Source organism: Homo sapiens, chromosome 3, assembly GCF_000001405.40.
Source record: "Homo sapiens chromosome 3, GRCh38.p14 Primary Assembly".
In the NCBI taxonomy this organism is placed as follows: Eukaryota; Metazoa; Chordata; class Mammalia; order Primates; family Hominidae; genus Homo; species Homo sapiens.
In genome coordinates, this window is record NC_000003.12 from 45437757 (window position 1) to 45457483 (window position 19727).

General features: G+C 41.5%; 1 protein-coding gene across 6 annotated transcripts in view; it reads left to right on the forward strand.

Moving 5' to 3' along the window:
* LARS2 (leucyl-tRNA synthetase 2, mitochondrial) overlaps window positions 1-19727 on the forward strand; it is a 160832-nt gene that overhangs the window by 49181 nt on the left and 91924 nt on the right. For all 6 annotated transcript variants that reach the window (NM_015340.4, XM_017006042.2, NM_001368263.1 and 3 more), the window contains one exon: window positions 9135-9224. In NM_015340.4, coding sequence (NP_056155.1) covers window positions 9135-9224 — 90 coding nt within the window. The remainder of the gene's footprint in view (window positions 1-9134; window positions 9225-19727) is intronic.

Below are 19727 nucleotides of genomic sequence, written 5' to 3' on the forward strand. Positions count from 1 at the left end.
CAGTAAAATGGTGACTTACTCATTCAACATTTATTAAGCATCCTTTGTACCAGGGACTGTCCTAAGTACTTGGAATACATCGGTGGGGAGAAAAAGACAAAACCCTTTCATAGGGAGACCTTACCATTTACAGTTTCAGGAGGGGATGAAGACAGACAATAAACATAATAAATAAGAAAATAATGTAGTGTATTAGGAGGCAATAAGTGGTATGGAAAGAAAAAAAGGTAGAGTAGGTTAAGGGGAGAGCAGGAGGGCCAGGGGTAAATTGCAATTTTAAATTCAGAGGTCAAGCCCACATTTGGTAATAACTACCTCCTGGGATTGTGATGAGAAGGACATGAGAGGCCCCTAAACTGCCAATGCTGGACCAAGTACTTTGTCAGCCCCTGGTAAGCATTAGCTGTTACTGTTGTTATTACTGTTGTCATTCCTAAAAGAATATTCACTGTGCAGTTCCTTTATCTAGGAGTACTCCAGTTCACTCATGTTGCTTGATTACCGGCACCTCCTTAGAGCATACATGTTTAAGCCAGTCCAGTCATAGCTGGGCTGCACTTCCCATGGTGCCATGTCACTGCTTGATGCCCCTCTAAATCCAGAGACCTGGTTACTGGTTTTGCTTCTGCCACCCAGGAGCTGGGCAGCTTTGGGTGAGTTTCCTCATGTATAAAGCAGTGCTCACCATCCCTGCCTCTCAGACCACTGCGGGAATGGTCTGAGAGGCAGGCATGGTGAGTGCTTCTTTATATGTGAGAATGTATAAAGATGAGAGGATGGGCTGGGTGTGGTGGCTCATGCCTGTAATCCCAGCACTTTGGGAGGCTGAGGCAGGCAGATCACCTGAGGTCAGGAGTTTGAGACCAGCCTGGCCAACATGGAGAAACCCCATCTCTACTAAAAATACCAAAAAAAAAAAAAAAAAAATTTTAGCCAGGCATGGTGGTGGGCTCCTGTAATCCCAGCTACTCTGGAGGCTGAGACAGGAGAATCGCTTGAACGTGGGAGGCGGAGGTTGCAGTGAGCTGAGATCGCGCCACTGCACTCCAGCCTGGGTGACAGAGTGAGACACTGTCTCAAAAAAACAAAACAAAACAAAGAAAAAACGATGAGAGGATGGAGGAAAGAGCAATTTGGGAAGCCTAGAGCTGGATCCCAATGTGTCCTATCATTTGTAAATTGCTGGGGGATTTGTTAGATACAAGAAGGGCTAATTCAGACTCAAAGTCAGGGCTGTACTGAGTGTCTGATCTTCACTCTCTGTCCCTCTCCTGCATAAGGACCATTTAGTAGCATCTAAGTGAGAAACTAGCCCTGTTCCCTACTTCCTCCTCCCTTGAAGCCCTGTTGGGGGTTGTGGGAGGGGAAGGCCATTCTCATTAGGTTTTCTGCAGCTTCCTTTTCAAGAATCATTTCTCTTCCAGCAAGAGAAATGAGCTGTCAGAAACTCTGGCTTTTTTTTTTTTTTTTTTTTTTTTTTTTTGAGACAGTGTCTCACTCCATCGCCCAGGCTGGGGTGCAGTGGCATGATCTCGGCTCACCGCAACCTCCGCCTCCTGGATTCAAGCAATTCCCTGCCTCAGCCTCCCGAGTAGCTGGGATTACAGGCGCCCACCACCATGCCTGGCTAATTTTTGTATTTTTAGTAGATACAGGGTTTCACAATGTTGGCCAGGCTGTTCTTGAACTCCTTACCTCGTGATCCGCCCACCTTGGCCTCCCAAAGTGCTGGGATTACAGGTGTGAGCCAGCGCGCCCAGCCAACTCTGGCATTTTTAAACAGCTGGCCATTGAGCACAGGTAGCTGCCTAATGAAGTTTATATATCTGTTGCCACGAAGGTGGGTTTAAAGTTGTTATTTCTAACTGTTTTTTTTTTTTTTATGTTTGTTTTGTGAAAACGGAGGATTGAATGTAAGGACTAAAGAGAATCTGTGTTGGGGTGGGGCTGAGGCATGCAGGGAGGATTTGAATCAAGAGCAGGCTTATGAGAGATCCCTCTTAGCATAGTGGTCGGAGTACCCTTATAGAAATTTCATGCGAACCAAATCATGTTCTTAGCTCCTACTGAAGTCTGTTTCATTAAGTTCTGTAAAGACATAAAGGCAGGACAGGACCCTGTCTTTCACACAGTATTTGGGAGAGAGATATATTCGGGAGGAACTTCTTTGCAGTGGTTTTCAACACTGGCCCCACATTAAATTCCTAGAGGTGGGGCCTAGGCATTAGTAACTTTTAAAGTTCAATTCCAAGGTGTAACCAAGTTTGAGAACCAGTGCTTAGTGTAGAGGACTTAGCGGAGAGTGGCCGTCAGTGTCTTGGTTCTGGCAGATTTTCTCATGAGCCTGTCTCTCCCTCTTCCAACGCCGCAGGTGTACAGAGCTGTGGACTGGAAGCTTGAACCATCATCAGTGAGAATCATCTGATGTAGCCTGGATTGTTATTTTCTCTTTTAAGCTGCACAATAGGAATGCCAAGGCTAGTTTCTCTGCCTTTGAGCTGTATTATGCTTTTAGAATCCCTCCACTTTAGAATTAAAGTACCTGGGAAGGCATAAAAGACAAAGCCATCACTAAACATGTTTCCTTTTGATCTGTTGCAAATGACAAAAGTGCACATTACAAAAGATCAAAAAGCATGTGAACAACTCTCCTCTGTTTCCAAGACTCATTGTTTTGAAGGCAGGAGGCTCACAATGAGACTTGGGGAGGTGAAGTGATGCTTTGTTGCTAGAAACTGTGATGTGCAGTGGCCGCTCACCTTTCTGACATGCTTACAGGGCCGCCGGATGATTGACTTGATAAACATGTTGCCTCGGGTTTTTTGTTTTGTTTTGTTTTATTAAATTCCTGGTAGCTAACCTAAATATCCTGAGGTTGTGATGCCACCAAAATACATGACAGCTTTGAATGAGCTGTTCTGAAATCTAGGGCCATCACTGTCAAAGTGGACCGAGAAACCAAGACTAAATCCTGCCCAAGCAGCAGTGTGGGGGTGGAGGCAACCTAGCAGGCCCTCCCAGCCAGAGCTGACTGGGAGCAGCCTAGTGTGGATTTCTCCATCTGGTCATGTGTTTTGGTCTTTCCCTCATAAACACCATCTCTTTTTAGTCGAAAAGCCAATATTTGTTAAGGAGCAGAACACTATTTTTTACCCCAGTTCTTTCTCTCCCTTGTGCCTTACCCCAGTAGGCTGATGGGTACATCAGCCCACCTCTGAGTGGTACGGTAATGAAGCCAGCCTCACTCACCCCTGCCATCACACACTCTTTTTTTTTTTTTTTTTTTTGAGACGGAGTCTTGCTCTGTCGCCCAGGCTGGAGTTCAGTGGCACAGTCTCGGCTCACTGCAACCTCCACCTCCAGGTTCAAGCAATTCTCCTGCCTCAGCCATCCAAGTAGCTGGGATTACAGGCATATGCCACCACGCCTGGCTACTTTTTGTATTTTTAGTAGAGACATGGTTTCACCATGTTGGGCAGGCTGGTCTCTAACTTCTGACCTCAGGTGATCTGACTGCCTTGGCCTCCCAAAGTGCTGGGATTATAGGCATGAGCCATTGCACCCGGCCCATCACACACTGAGTAAAGCCAAGGGGTGTACTTGTTGATTTTTCCTGCAAGCCCAGCCGTATGCTTTGCACACAATTGCCTTTTAACCTCACAGCAACCCTCTAAGATGTGTTTCATTGCTTCTGTTTTCTAGTAGGGAAATGTGGTGTGGCCACAAACTAGTGAGGATGCGAGGACTTGAACCCAAGTCAGATGGCTCCAGGGTCTTTCCTGAGACCATACTCTCCCAGGCTCTTTCCTGGAGCAAGGAGTGTGAGCCTAAGGAGGCTTCAGTGGGGCACATGGAAGGTGGCTGAGTGCTGTGATTCTTCCTTCACAGACCAAGTATTATTTTATACCAGGAACAGTAAGGTAGGCCTCCGTGCCTCAGCCTTCTTAGACTTTATCACTGATGAATCGCTGTGTCTCAGGAGCTGCTGGCCAGACTGGCTTAATTGTTAATTTGTGCAGAGTCATTGAGGTATGGGTGGCAGGTCGCAAAAGATGATGTTTTGAGCCTCACTTGTGTTCTAAGAGAGCTCAGATTGTGTGTTGGGCTCTGTGGTTGCCTGTGAATGTGCAAAATATTTTTAATGCTAAAAACCAGGTATTACAGAATGTAGAAATGCAGCTTGGAGGAACAATTCTAGTTGGAATCCCAGATTCGTAAATTTGGTCTCTTGGCAGCTAGATTGCACTTTCTAGAGCTCAGGAAGATATAAAAGTTGACACTTTTATGTAGATTTATGTGGAGTGTGGCTGAATTGCCAATGCTTTTGTAGCTATAACTTTGAATTGCCTGACTTTTGTATTGAAAACAATGGTGCATTAACGTAGGCGTTGGCTTATTTGAAAAGCAGGCCAAAGGAAAAGACTTTTTATTTGACTTCTGTGGTGGTCTCCCTAAGGAGTCTTACCCACAAGCTATCCCACAGCTTGTGGGCAGATGTGAGCAACAGGAAGCCCCACCCCACAGACACAGGGTTCCCCCTTGGAGTTGCAGGCAGGGTTCAGTCTGGAATTTGGGTGCTGTGGGGCAGATTCTCATAGATGATCTTTAAACGTTTAGTTGTTCAACAACTATTTTATGGGAAGGGATGGACTCATGTTGTATCAAGAAAAACTGTATGCAACTTCAAAATAGGAAATTTACTACACAAATTTATTATGTAGATTTTCCAAGTCAGACAACTACTTGGAGGCACATTAAATGATTTAAAATTTAGGTAGTAAAATCAACCACTTATTACCAGTGAATAGCATTATGCACACATAATAGAGTTTCAGAATTTTATCTGCCTGCAACCCCAGACTTGACATGTCTCTCCCCTGGTTGGTCTCCGAGTTGGTAGAAGGCTTGGTGGTCGCATCATGCAGCATTCCTGTGTGCGCTGCAAGTCATGCTTAACAGAGATAGGGCTACCCCCGATGGAGAAGGGCAACTCACTTAACCGCCTCCATCTTTCCACTTTTGCTCATTGATGTTTAACATGTTATCAGTATGTATAGAATGGCCCCCAGAGAGTTGTTTGATTGATGCTTCTTTAATCAGCCTGTGATTATAGACTCAAACTGAAGAAATCTGAACTCACAGATCGGGGTTTCTCCACCTTGGCGCTATTGATTGACATTTGGGACTGGGTGATTATTTTGTTCTGGGGACTGTCTTGTTCACTATAGGTTTTTAAAGCAGCATCCCTGGCCTCTATCCACTAGATGCCAGTAGCACACATACAGCATACACACCCCAGTTGTGACAAACAAAAATGTCTCCAGTATTTGCCAGATGGTCTCTGGGGAACAAAATTTTCCCGGTTGAGCACTCTTCCTTTAGAGAAGGGAAGAAAGGACTATTAACATCACCTCTGTGGGTACTGAAACCCCTAGAAGACCCTTGTCTACAGAACTGGGTTTTGAATAGGCACTTCCCAGTGAAAATATGAAAATAGACTCTTGATTTCTAGCCAGGTGACTAAAATAAAAGCTTTTCAGCAGTTTAATTTCAGAAAGATGGCTTTGATTATTTTGATTGAGATAAAGCATTAGAAGACTCAAAATAGCTGTTTTTGTTTTGCTTTGTTTTAATGAGAAAATCAGGGAAGGTTCCAGAGGGCTCTATGACTTTCAGGAGATGTATTTCTAAGTGGTGTCTGTTCCCAACTGTGTTTATGATCCTTGTGAGACTGAACTCCTGGTGAGCCTTGCGAGTGTCTGTTCTGGCATTTCTTCATGGAGTGGACATTACTGAAGGTCGGTCGGTGGCTGGGCCCTGTGTGCAGCAGATGGGAATAAAAGGGACAGGAGCACAGTGTCTTCCTCAGGGCACTCCCAGCCTCCTCTGGGCAGGTGAGTCACGCATTTCAGTACGACGGAACTTATGAGTGCTGTGAATATGCCTGGAAATGAACCCGCCAGTGATTGGAATAATGGTCCGGAAGCAGTGGTTTTCAAGCTGTACTCTTTTAGCAGTTGAGGTTGCTTTTTCTTCAAATGACATGTGCAGAAATGTAATATAAATAAAATAGATCAGATCCAAATTTGAAGCCAGGGTGAAAGCAGGGGCCTGTAATTCCCCACCCCTCCCTTTGCCTCAGAGCTGACACTTCCAAAGAGAATGCCCTTTCGTTACAGGTTTGACTGAAAGTAGGCTAACGCTTGGTTGGATGAAGATCATTGTTTTTCCTGACTAGATCTATCCTCTTTTTTTTTTTTTTTTCTGAGACAGAGTCTTGCTCTGTTGTCCAGGCTGGAGTGCACTGGCGTGATCTCAGCTCACTGCAAGCTCCGCCTCCTGGGTTCACGCCCTTCTCCTGCCTCAGCCTCCCAAGTAGCTGGGACTACAGGTGCCCACCACCATTCCTGGCTAATTTTTTTTTTTTTTTGTATTTTTAGTAGAGACAGGGTTTCACCGTGTTAGCGAGGATGGTCTCAATCTCCTGACCTTGTGATCCCCCCGCCTCAGCCTCCCAAAGTGCTGGGATTATAGGCATGAGCCACTGCGCCCAGCCCTTTTTTCACTTTAGGTAAAAGTGATTTTCAGAACCATCAACCTAGGGGAAAAAAAAAAATGCTGTTTCGGCCAGGCGCGGTGGCTCACGCCTGTAATCCCAGCACTTTGGGAGGCCGAGGTGGGCGGATCACGAGGTCAGGAGATCGAGACCATCCCGGCTAAAACGGTGAAACCCCCATCTCTACTAAAAATACAAAAAATTAGCCGGGCGTAGTGGCGGGCGCCTGTAGTCCCAGCTACTTGGTAGGCTGAGGCAGGAGAATGGCGTGAACCCGGGAGGCGGAGCTTGCAGTGAGCCGAGATCCCGCCACTGCACTCCAGCCTGGGCGACAGAGCGAGACTCCGTCTCAAAAAAAAAAAAAAAAAAAAAACAATGCTGTTTCATTGCTGTGTAATTTTTACTCTCACTCTAGGAAGCAGATTCATCGGCTTAGAGAAAAAAACACATATTTGTATATTTTATATATGTGTGTATATATAAAATATGTTGTATATGTGTTACATATATAATATATATTATGTGTTATATATTTACTAAAAGAATTTTGATATTATGAACAACTCAATAGAAAAATTGAGAAAAGAAAATATTGAACCTCTATCCCTTAGATTTAACAATTCTCATTATTTTCTCAAAATTATTTCACACACTTTTCTAAACCTCTAGTGGGTAAAGATTTTTTAAAAATAAAAAGATATATCCACAATGACCAAGTCTAGGAATATTTTTACCATACTACCTCCACCCCTTACCCACATCCCCTATCCCAGTTCATCTTGGGGACAACAGTGTAATAATTTGAATTTTGTGGTGAAACCTACATGAAGGAATCAAATTTGATTCAATGTCAGTAGTTCATATCTCTATCTAGTTTATTCTTCCTTCAACAACAATTTTGGGTGCCTCAATGTGCCAGGACCTGAGCATACTACAATGAGCAAAATGAAATAGACCAAACATAGCTCCTGCCCTGGGTTTTGTTAACAGTGGAAGTTTTTAAATTTCTTGTCTAGAAAACTGAGGAAAACAAGTTCTGTGCCATGCTAGCTGGAGGGGTAGCTGTGGAGGAAAAGATGATGGATGAGGATGAATTTGGAGGTTTTGGGGAGCAAGCCCATTGGCAGAGTGCTGGTTAGGTTCTTGAGTTGGTGAAGATCTTTGTGCACGACACCCCTGTAGACATCTGTGAAGCTGGAAGCCAGAGCAGGCTGCGTCGTATGCATGGCTCAGAAATTATGGCTCTTGTGTTGTGGAAGCTGGCCTAGGTGGACAGCTACAATGTGGGCAAAGCCCTTTGACTGGCTGGTGGTTCACTAGTTGCCTTGAAGTGGGAAGGTAGAGCCAATAGTCAGAGTTGTGTTATTTTCCTTTTAAAAGAATTGTTTTCTAATAGTTATTACTCTGCTGTTTTTATAAAACAGCACAAAAAAGGACTCAGGAGTCTTACATAAGAAAAATAGCCCACTGGGGGCACAGATGTTTACCTGACACCTTGCTTAGTTCCTACCACATACCCAAAGTCCGGGTTTGAAGCTGTCTCATTTATTCATCTTAAGGAAGACTGAATTGTTTGCACTTTTGGTAAAAGTACGCTTTCTATCAAAAGTTTATTACAAGGCGTGGTGGCACACACCTGTAGTCCCAGCTACTGGGGAGGCTGAGGAGGGAGGGTCATTTGAGCCCAGGAGTTCGAGACTACAGTGAGGCACAATCACACCACTGCACTTCAACCTTGGTGACAGAACAAGACTTCTGTCTCTTAAAAATAAAAAAGTCTGTTACAAACGGAGTCATTTGAAACATTCCCTCCCATCATTCATTTCTGCGTTAGTTTTTGAAGTTAAAGAGCACTAGAAAAGAAACGTGACAGTATAGAGGTTTTATGCTTATTTGACTTTATCAACTGTAAATTCTGTTTTTAAGAATTCTATAACAAATGTGTTTTTAGGACAGAAAGTAAATTTGGGGAACCTTTGATTTAGGCTTGGAAATATAAACCAAGTGGTTTCTTACTAAGTTTAATGTTTTTAATTGTTCTTCCTAAGTAAACAACAGCCTGATTCACATAATGGAATAAATGGAATATACGAGTCTAAAGGAGCCACTAGACCCCAGTTTTATGTGGAAACACAAGATGTATTTTCAAATGAGGATCATACTGAGGCAGGCAAATATTCCTCATGAATTTTGTGATTGCTTTCAAAATGAGCTACATTTGTGAATAAGCATCAGGCCCCCAGTGTATGTTTGTGCTGACAAAAATGTTAATACCCAATTTTGTACAATGTAATTCACTTGTTAGTGCCATAGATGAGTGGGCAGGAGGTGTGCAAAAGACTTGAAGTTGAGTTTCTCATTGAACATGCTCTCAGAAAGGTGTAGGTGGCATTTCAATAACATCTCTTTCCAGAATAAATTGTGACTCTCCTTACTTTACAAACTGGTGAAAATATTTTGAGCTGGTAAATATTTTTGTGATTTCATTACTTTTCAAAATTCAGTTGCAAGACTGAGCATGCATGGCTGGGGGGATGTTTATAATGGCCTGTACATTATTTTTCTTCTTTGTTGGCAGGAAATAACTACGTGTTTGCCAGATTACTACAAGTGGACTCAGTATCTCTTTATTAAACTGTATGAGGCTGGGCTGGCCTATCAAAAGGAGGTAAGTTAAAATTAGCTGGACTTTTAAAATTCAGTGAATCTCTTTAGGATACATCATTGTAGTAGCAGCGAAAATGAACGCTACCTCAAGTTCATAAAATCAGTCACAGCAGACCCAGAACGTAACTACTTCCTACTTAAGTTTAGTGTCATCAAGACAGGGTCTGGGCTTCTTTTACCCTTGAATTCTTACCCCATAACCTATTGTCTGGTTCCTGTAATGAGATCAAGGAGAGGGCATAAGAAGAAAGAACACAGGCTTCTCAAATCCTAGCTCAGCTCCCTCTCCCAGCTATGTGAACATCTGGGTAACTTAACCTCTAGGAAACATGGTTTTGTATCTGCTAAATGGGAATGGGGACATTTTCCTTGTGGGGTACTATGGTTTGGATGTCCCCTCCAAAACTCATGTTGAAATTTAATTGCCATTGTGATGGATTTAAGAAGAGGGACCTTTAAGAAGTGAGTGGGTCACGACAGCCCTGTCCTAATAAATGGATTAATGTTATTATTGTGGGAATGAGCTCCCAATAAAAGGATGAGTTCAGCCAAATTCTCTGTGTGTGTGTGTCATACGGTCACTTGCTGTTCTACTTACTGCCATGGGATAATGCAGCACAGAGGCCCTTGCAGATGTTGGCACCATGCTCTTGGACTTCCTGACCTCCAGAATCAGCCAAATAAACTTCTATCAATAAATTACCCAGTCTGTGGTATTCTATTACAGTAGCAGAAAATGGAGGAAGACACAGGGTTCTTGGAAAGATTAAAGGTAATAGTTAAAGAACAGCTATCACAGTGGTCTCCCGAGAAATGAAAGTGTTTGTTATGGTGGGAGCTCAATAATGATAGGTAAGACTTGGAATGGTGGGAGATGAGGCAAGAGCATCATAGTGTGGCCTAGAACTGTCCAGGATGATAGCCACTAGCCACATGTGGTTGCTTAAATTTAAAGTAATTAAAATTAAATAGTATTTAAAAAGTCAGAGCTGGGACAGTGGCTCACACCTGTAATCTCAGCACTTTGGGAGATTGATGCAGGAGGATTGCTTGATGCCAGGAGTTCAAGACTAGCCTGGGAAACACAGTGAGACCCTGTCTCTACAAAAAGTAGGAAAAAATTAGTCCCAGTTACTCAAGACGGTGAGGTAAGAGGATCCCTTGAGCCCATCAACCTACTGGGGTAAGGCAAAAGGAAGAGGAAAGAACTGAGGTAAAAAATAGTGTTCTATTCCATAACAAATATTGGCTTTTTGACTAAAACGAGATAGTGTTTATGAGGAAAAGACCAAAACACATGACCAGATGGAGAAAACCACACTAGGCTGCTCCCAGTCAGCTCTGGCTGGTAGGGCCTGCTAGGTTGCCTCCACCCCCACACTGCTGTTTGGTCAGGATTTAGTCTTGGTTTTTTTCCAGGTGGATCTCTGTCTTAGTTGGTTTGTACTGCTACAGTAGTGCCAAGACCAGCTCGGTCGGGGAGACCCTAACCCAGTAGCGCTAGAGGAATTAAACACACACACACACACAGAAATATAGAGGTGTGAAGTGGGAAATCAGGGGTCTCACAGCCTTCAGAGCTGAGAGCCCCGAACAGAGATTTACCCACATATTTATTAACAGAAAGGGAGTCATTAGCATTGCTTCTATAGATATTAAATTAACTAAAAGTATCCCTTATGGGAAAGGAAGGGATGGGCCAAATTAAAGGAATAGGTTGGGCTAGTTAACTGCAGCAGGAGCATGTTCTTAAGGCACAGATTGCTCATGCTATTGTTTGTGGCTTAAGAATGCCTTTAAGTGGTTTTCCCCCCTGGGCAGGCCAGGTGTTCCTTGCCCTCATTCTGATAAACCCACAATCTTCCAGCGTGGGCTTTATGGCCATCATGAACATGTCACAGTGTTGCAGAGATTTTGTTTATGGCCAGTTTGGGGGCCAGTTTATGGCCAGATTTTGGGGGCTTGTTCCCAACACAATAGAATACTTGAGACTGGTATTTTAACAGTTTTATGCAGCAGAAATGTATTTCCTCATAGTTCTGAAGGCTGGGAAGTCCAATATCAAGGTGCCGGCCTCTGGCAAGGGCCTTCTTGCTGCATCATCCTACGGTAGAAGGTGAGAGGGCAAGAGAGAGGGAGAGTGTGAGGGAGGGAGCAAGGGGAAGCTTAACTCACTATTTTTTTTTTTTTTTTTTTTTTTGAGACAGAGTCTTGCTCTTGTTGCCCAGGTTGGAGCGCAATGGTGTGATCTCAGCTCACTGCAACCTCCGCCTCCCGGGTTCAAGCAATTCTCCTACCTCAGCCTCCTGAGTAGCTGGGATTACAGGCATGCGCCACCACGCCCAGCTAATTTTTGTATTTTTAGTAGAGACAAGTTTCACCATGTTGGTCAGACTGGTCTTGAACTCCCAAACTCAGGTGATCTGCCCGCCTCAGCCTCCCAAAGTGCTGAGATTATAGGCATGAGCCACCATAACACAGCTGAACTCACTTTTATAACAAGCCCACTCTTGATAACTAACCCACACCCATGATAGCAACATCAATTTATTCATGAGAGCAGAGCCCTCATGACCTAATCACCTCTGAAATGTCCCACCTCTTAACATTGTTGCATTAGGGATTAAGTTTCCAACACATGAACTTTGGGGGACACATTCAGACCATAGCAATCTCTTTTTATTGGATAGCTATTTTCAAATTGGCCTTAAAACAGAAAACATTGCTATTAGCATTCTATTTCTGTGGTTTATTTCAAAATACAAATTTTTGGAATAAACTTTATAAAGTTAACTGACTTTAGAAATATACTTTGTAAAGCATATTTAACCAAAATAACTCAGGTAAATGAACATTTAGGAATAGTATTTGAGCAGAGCATTACTAAACGTAGCTGGAGTGTTTAAGTCTTTTGTTCTTAACAAGCACTGTCCACCAAATGTTCAGTTCTGTTGCAAAAAGAATCTGCTGTTGCTTTCACAAAACAAAAGTATTTTCAGCTGCAAATATGAACATAAAGACCTCTACTTGGCAGAACATTAATTTCACCTTTTGAAAAACATTTTCTTAAAACTCTTTTTTAAAAAGTTTTATTCCATGGATGTAGTTTTAGAGGGTTTTGTTGTTGTGGGGGTTTTTAAATTAATATATCATAGTTGTACATACTTTACATGTGATATTTGATACATGTATACAGTGTGTCATGATCAAATCAGGGTAATTGGGATATCCATCACCTCAAACATTTATCTTTCTTTGTGTTGGAAATAATTACATTTCTTCTAGCTATTTTGAAACATACAATAAATTATTGTTAACTATAATTTCCCTACTGTATTATCAAATGCTAGAACGTATTCCTTTTATGTAACTGTGTTTTTGTACCCATGAACCATTGTCTTTTTATCCCCCGCTCTCTCCCCTTCCTTTCCCAGCCCCAGCAGCCACCATTCTACACTCTACATCCATGAGATCCACTTTTTTAAGCTCTCACATATGAGTGAGAACATTTGGTATTGGTAATTTCTATGCCTGGCTTATGTCACATGGTAACCTCCAGTTCCATTCATTTTATTGTTTTTTATGGCTGAATAATATTCCATAGTGTGTATATACCACATTTTTTAAATCCATTAATCCACTGATGGACACTTGGGTTGATTGATATCTTGGCTATTGTGAATAGTGCCACAATAAGCATAGAAGTGCAGATATCTCTTCGGTAATCCTGATTTCAATTCCTTTGGATATATACCCAGCAGTGGGATTGCTGAATCATGTGGTAGTTTTATTTTTAATTTTACAAGGAACCACCTTACTGTTTTTCACACAGTGTATGAGGGTTCCCCTTTCTCCATATTCTCACCAGCATCTGTTACTCCATCTTTTAATAGAAGCCATTTTAACTGAGTGAAATTATGTTTCGTTGTGGTTTTGATTTGCACTTCCCTGATGATTAATGATGTTAAACATTTTTTTTCATATACCTTTTAGCCATTTGTATGTCTTCTTTTGAGAAATGTCTATATAGGTGTTTTGCCTGTTTTCTAATTGGAGTATTTGGATTTTTGTTTGTTTTTTGCTATTGAGTTGTTTGGATTCCTTATATATTCTGGTTATTAATCCCTTGTCAGATGAATAATTTGCGAATATTTTTTCCCCTTCTGTAGGCTATCTCTTTACTCTGTTCATTGTTTCCTTTGCTGTGCAGAAGCTTTTTTGCTTGATGTAATCCCATTTGTCTGTTTTTGCTTTTATTGCTTGTGCTTTTATGGTCTTACCCAAAAAAAAAATTTGTCCAAGCCAATGTCCTGTAGCATTTCCCTAATGTTTTATTCTACTAGTTTCATAGTTTTCGGTCTTACATTTAAGTCTTTAATCTATTTTGAGTTTTTTTTTTATATGGTGAAAAATGGGGATTTAGTTTCATTCCTCTGTATATGGATATCCAGTTTTCCCAGCAACATTTATTAAAGAGACTGTCTTTTCCCCAATGTATGTTTTTAGAAACTTTGTCAAAAATGAGTTGACTGTAAGTGCATGGATTTATATCTGGGTTCTCTGTTTCATTTCATTGGTCTGTTTGTCTCCTTTTATGGCAGTACCATGCTTTTTGGGTTACAATAGTTTTTTAGTATAATTTGAAATCAGGTAGTGTGATGCTTTCAGCTTTGTTCTGTTTTTGCTCAGGATTGCTTTGGCTATTCAGGGTCTTTTGTGGTTCCATACAGATTTTAGGGGTTTTTTTCTATTTCTGTAAATAATGTCATTGATATTCTGATAGGGATTGCTTTGAATCTGTAGATCACTTTGTGTAGTATGTGCATTTTAACAATATTCTTCCAATCCACGAACATAGTATATTTTTGCATTTTTTGTTTGTCCTTTTCAATTACTATCATCAATGTTTTATAGTTTTCCTTAGAGATCTTTAACCTTGCTTAAATTTACTCCTAGGTATTTTATTTGTAACTCTTATAAATGGGATTACTTGATTTCTTTTTCAGATTGATCATTGTTAACATATAGAAATGCTGCTGATTTCTGTGTGTTGATTTTGTATCCTGCAACTTTACTAAATTCATTTATCAAGTCTAAGTTTTTTGGTTGGAACCTTTAGGTTTTTCTAAATATAAAATCATGTTGTCTGCAAACAAGAATAATTTGACTTCTTCCTTTCCATTTTAGTTGCCAGTTATTTCTTTCTCTTGCCTAATTGCCCTGGTTAGGACTTCCAGTACTATGTTGAATAAAAGTGGTGAAAGTGGTAATCCTTGTCTTGTTCCAGATCTTAGTGGAAAGGCTTTCAATTTTTTCCCATTCAGTGTGGTATTAGCTATAGGCTTGTCATATATGGCCTTTATCATGTTGAGGTGTGTTCCTACTATACCCGATTTGTTGAGGTATTTTTTTTTTTTATCATGAAGGATGTTGAATTTTATTGAATGCTTTTTTAGCATCTATGGAAATTATGTGTTTTGGTCCTTGATTTTGTCGTATGACATGATATTTATTGATTTCTATATGTTGAACCATCCTTGCATCCCTGGGATGAATCCCTGTTGATCATGGTGAATGATCTTTTTAATGTGTTGTTGAATTCTGTTTACTACTATTTTGTTGAGGATTTTTGCATCTCTGTTTATTAGGGATATTGGCCTATAGTTTTCTTTTTTGTTATGTCTTTGTCTGGTTTGGATATCAGGGTAATGCTGGCTTTATAGAATGAATTTGGAAGAATTCCCTCTTTCTAGAAGAGTTTGAGAAGAATGGGTATTAGTTTTCTTTAAATGGTAGAATTCAGCAGTGAATCCATCAGGTCCTGATCTTTTCTTTGATGGAGGACTTTATATTACTGCTTTGAACTCATGACTTGTTCTATTCAGGTTTTCAATTACTTCATGGTTCGATCTTGCTAGGTTGTGTGTGTGTCCAGGAATTCATCCATTTCTTCTAGGTTTTCCCATTTGTTGATGTATAGTTGTTCATAATAGTCTCTAATGATCCTTTGTATTTCTGTGGTAAAAGTTTTAATGTTTCTTTTTCTGTCTGTGATTTTATTTATTTGGCTCTTTTCTTCTTAGTCTAGGTAAAAGTTTGTTGATTTTGTGTGAATTTTCAAAAACCAAGTTTTTTATTTTATTGGCCTTTTTCTTTCTTTTCTTTCTTTTTAGTCTCAATTTCATTTATTTCTACTCTGATCTTTATTATTTCGTTCCTTCTACTAATTTTGGGTTTGGTTTGTTCTTGCTTTTCTAGTTCCTTGTGCATTTTTTATCTGGAGTTGCTTATCTGGAGTCCTGTTGATCTCTCTTCAAAGTTCTTTTTCCTGTATGGTACTTGTTGATTATCAGTCTTGTGCTGGTATTTAGCCTTGGATGGTGGATATAGTTATTAATGGTTTATTATGCTTGGACATTCTAGGGAATGAGGGCGAGTCCCCTAATTTATGAGTCTGTCTTTAGCTGTCTACATGAATTTAGTAGCAGCTGGTGATGGTGCTAATTTACCCACTTGGTAAAGCTAAGTTTGCAGCATGGCCTTGGCTTCAGGAAGCATACTCAAAGAATTGCTACACACTGGCACCTCTTCCACTGTACCTCCTTGTGGCTTTGGAATGTTGTGACAGTAACAAACGGTAGCCTTGTGGGCTACCCCTGGACTCAGTCCAAATTCAGGCCCATTCTTGATGGAATGGAGCAAGATTGATTTTGAGAGCTAGATACTTTATAAGACCTATGTGATGTTGCTTAGTTAAGCATGCTTTGTCAAGAAAGAAGCTAATAGACCTTGAAAAAAATCAGTACCCTAAAATATATATTTTACTAGCCTTCTGGAACCTGAAGCTGACAGTATATTCAGAAAAGGTCTTTGATAGTTTAAAAAAAAAAGAAAGAAAAGAAAAGCAGAGCTTGAGGGGAGAGAGGCGGGGAAAACAATGGAGAGTAGCCAAGGGCCAGAGGAGTGATATGCTGGCCAAGAGACAAAAGCATGCTGATGGTGGGTGTGATCTAGAAGGGACAGGCACCCTGTGTGAAGGGCGAGGCAGGGAGGCAAGGCAAGGAGGATCTGAGGGAAGAGGAGGAATGGTAATGATGAGATGAGAGGCGTGAGGGTTTGGAACAGTAGGGCTGGCTGGGGCAGCAAGCACCACAGCTGCTGTGTCACAGATAGGAAAGCTGATAAACACAAAATTAGGAGAATACTGCCCACATGATCCCCAAGGGAGCCCAAAGTCACCTACACCTCCAAGAGCCTAATGGCAAAGAAGAGTAGAGAGGAGACAAAAATGCCTGCTCCCACTGATCACTGTGCAGATTTGACCCTTTATGAACATGGCTCCTTTGTGTTTGTTGTGTTATGAGGTGCATTTTTAAAATGCTTCCTAAATGCTTCCCACAGATCACTCAAGCAAAAAAATATTAGTCCTAATGTTTAACCCTTTAATAAGTGGGGAAACTAACTACCTTCTTTGGAATGTCCAATTCCGTGATATTCCCAGATAACTATTGTGAGGGAAGCAGTGGGTAAAATCGACCCAGAGCTCAGTGTGTTTGCAGGTGTTTTAATGATTTCAGTGTTAATTTAAGGTTCATTTCAATACAGGCTTGACTTTATTTTACAAATAAGGCTAGTTAACTACAAAGGAACATGGAATTGGCTTCAGTAGGTGGTAGACAGCATAAATGCCAACCAGGGAAATGAATAGAGTCAGTGAAGTTGCCCAGAAATTATATCCTATTCATAAGACTGTGCTTGCTTAAAAATCAGCATGTTCATCCAAGTAAATGTTCAAAATATGGAAATCCAGGATTGCTGGATGAGGGAAGCTATTGATAGAGACAGTTGTGTAAGAGAGGAGACCTGAGCAAAGGGATTTAGGAAGCAACTCCAGGGCTTCAAGGGGTTGCAGGTGCTGTGCTCCCTGAGCCTCAGGGCCCTGGATTTTGACGACTCCAAATTTAACCACTTTTGGAAAGTCTGAGCCTGAATCTGCAACTCTGTGGCTGAGGTGGATTGGAGTTCTGGAAAGAAATCATGTGGATTCTCACAGATGATGCATCTTTTGAGACACTATTTCTTTTGGTGTTTTCCCCCTTCCCCCCAAGTCTTTCATTAGGGGGATAAATTGCCTTTGTGTTTTGCTTTTTTTTTTTTTTTGTCTTTCATTCAATGCTTGGGTTTTATTATGATGTGCAAACCTCTTAGGAGCACACCTTCCTCATTGTATTTTGTAATCTAGAGCCTGAGAGATGCCAGGCCATGTGGGAAATGTAGATAAGAAAATACAGTCCTATTTGTTCTTGCAATCTGCAGTACCAAGTATTCACTTCTTCCAAATCCTCTGAGGTTTGCCGGGGACAAGAGACAGAGGTGGAGGGATATACGGTGCTCTTTTTCTACCTTTCTTTTATGTTTCATACAGTTTTAGTTGTGCATGGGTTGTCTGGAGTGGGGAGATGCCTCTTGAATGAACTGTCTACATTACTAAGCAGTACTTGGTCCTTTCTTTCTACCTGTTATTTTAAGTGGAACCCTTCCAGAACCTGTGTACACTGTGGGTAGAAATGTAAATTGCTATAGCCATTATGGAAAACAGTATGGAGGTTCCTCAGAAAATGAAAAATGGAACTACCATATGATCCAGCAATCCCACTTCTGGGAGTATATCCAAAGGAACTGAAATCAGTGTGTTGGAGGGATATCTGTACACCCATGTTAACTGCAGTACTATTCACAGTAGCCAAGATATGGAATCAACCTAAGTGTCCATCAACAGACGAATGAATAAAGAAAATGTGGAGTATATACACAATGGAATAGTATTCAGCTTCAAAAAACAATAAAATTCTGTCATTTGGGAATGACAGGGATGAATCTAGAAGACAGTGTGCTAAATGAAATAATCCAGGCACAGAAAGGCAAAAATCATGTGATCTCACTTACATGTGGAATCCTAAAAAACATTGAATTCATAGAAGTAGAGAGTAGAATGATGGTTACCAGAGGCTGGAGGGGTAGGGGTGGAGCAAGGGAATGGGAAGTTACTGTCAGGAGTACAAAGTTTCAGCTAGACTGCAGGAATACATTTTGAGATCTACTGCACAGGAGGGTGACTCTAGTCAGTCATAATGTTTTGTATATTTCGAGATAACTGAAAGAGTAAATTTATCACCACAAAAAATGTTAAGTAAGTGAGGTGATGGGTATTTTAATTGCTTAATTATTCTACATTGTGTACATATATCAAAATATCACACTGTATTCTATAAATACAGTTATGATTTGTCAATTAATAATTGTTTTAAAAGAAATAATTAAGACTGGGTGTGGTGACTCACGCCTGTAATCCCAGCACTTTGGGAGGCTGAAGCAGGCAGATCACCTGAGGTCAGGAGTTCGAGACCAGCCTGGCCAACACGGTGAAACCCTGTCTCTACTAAAAATACAAAAATTAGCTGGGCGTGGTGGTGGGCGCCTAGAGTCCCCGCTACTCGGGAGGCTGAGGCAGGAGAATCACTTGAACCCAGGAGGCAGAGGTTGCAGTGAGCTGAGATTGTGCCACTGCACCCCTGCCTGGGTGACAGAGTGAGACCCTGTCTCAAAAAAAAGAAGAAATAATTAAGTGGTACCCTTCTCTCCAACCCCCTAATACAGGCAGGGATAATAGATAAGGAAATGGACCTTTGGTTCATTAAAGTTTTTAGATCTAAGGTACTTTTGTCCCATATTTTGTCTCTATGTGCTTATTAAGTCAAGGCTTTTGGGAACCCTATCTTAGAAGGGAAACAAATGCATGTCTTTCCCACCCAACTCTAGACTTCACATACTTAAATTTTCCAATGGGGGTACTGCTTCTATATGTAAAATCGCAGCCCACAAATTACAACCCACAGATAGGTTAGCCTCCCCTCACCCCTACTTTTTATGTAACTTTTAGACATGTCTCTGGATCAGTCAGGGTCCCAGCAGGAAAGAGAGAGCACACCCGAAAGGAGTCATTGAAGACAATTTGATGAAGGACTATTTGTGTGGAGTTCAGGGAAACTCAGAAGGGACGGCAATGCGTTTGACCCTGGCAGCAGAAGGATGCCTTTGCTGCCTGTAGGCTGCAGGGGCAACGTCAGGGGGCAGTTAATAGAACCTGGGAGAGCAGTAGCTTTAGCAGCACGGGAGACCTGCCCAACAGAGGTGATGACCTTCACTAGAGGCACATGACCCCTGCTAGCCCATGGCCAGGAAGCAGCCAGTGTGCCTGTCATTGGTTGAACCCAACCGGAAGATAAGGGTCCAAGGGAATGCAGGTCGCAGAGGTCAACTTCTTGGGCCACAGATCAGGGCAGGAAGAGGGTCTGGAGGGGCAAATGGGTAATAGTGAACACAATCTCTTATTAGAATTGCTTATTAAAAATTTTACGGCTAGGCCTGGTGGCTCACGCCTGTAATCCCAATACTTTGGGAGGCCAAGGCGGGTGGATCACCTGAGGTCAAGAGTTCGAGACCA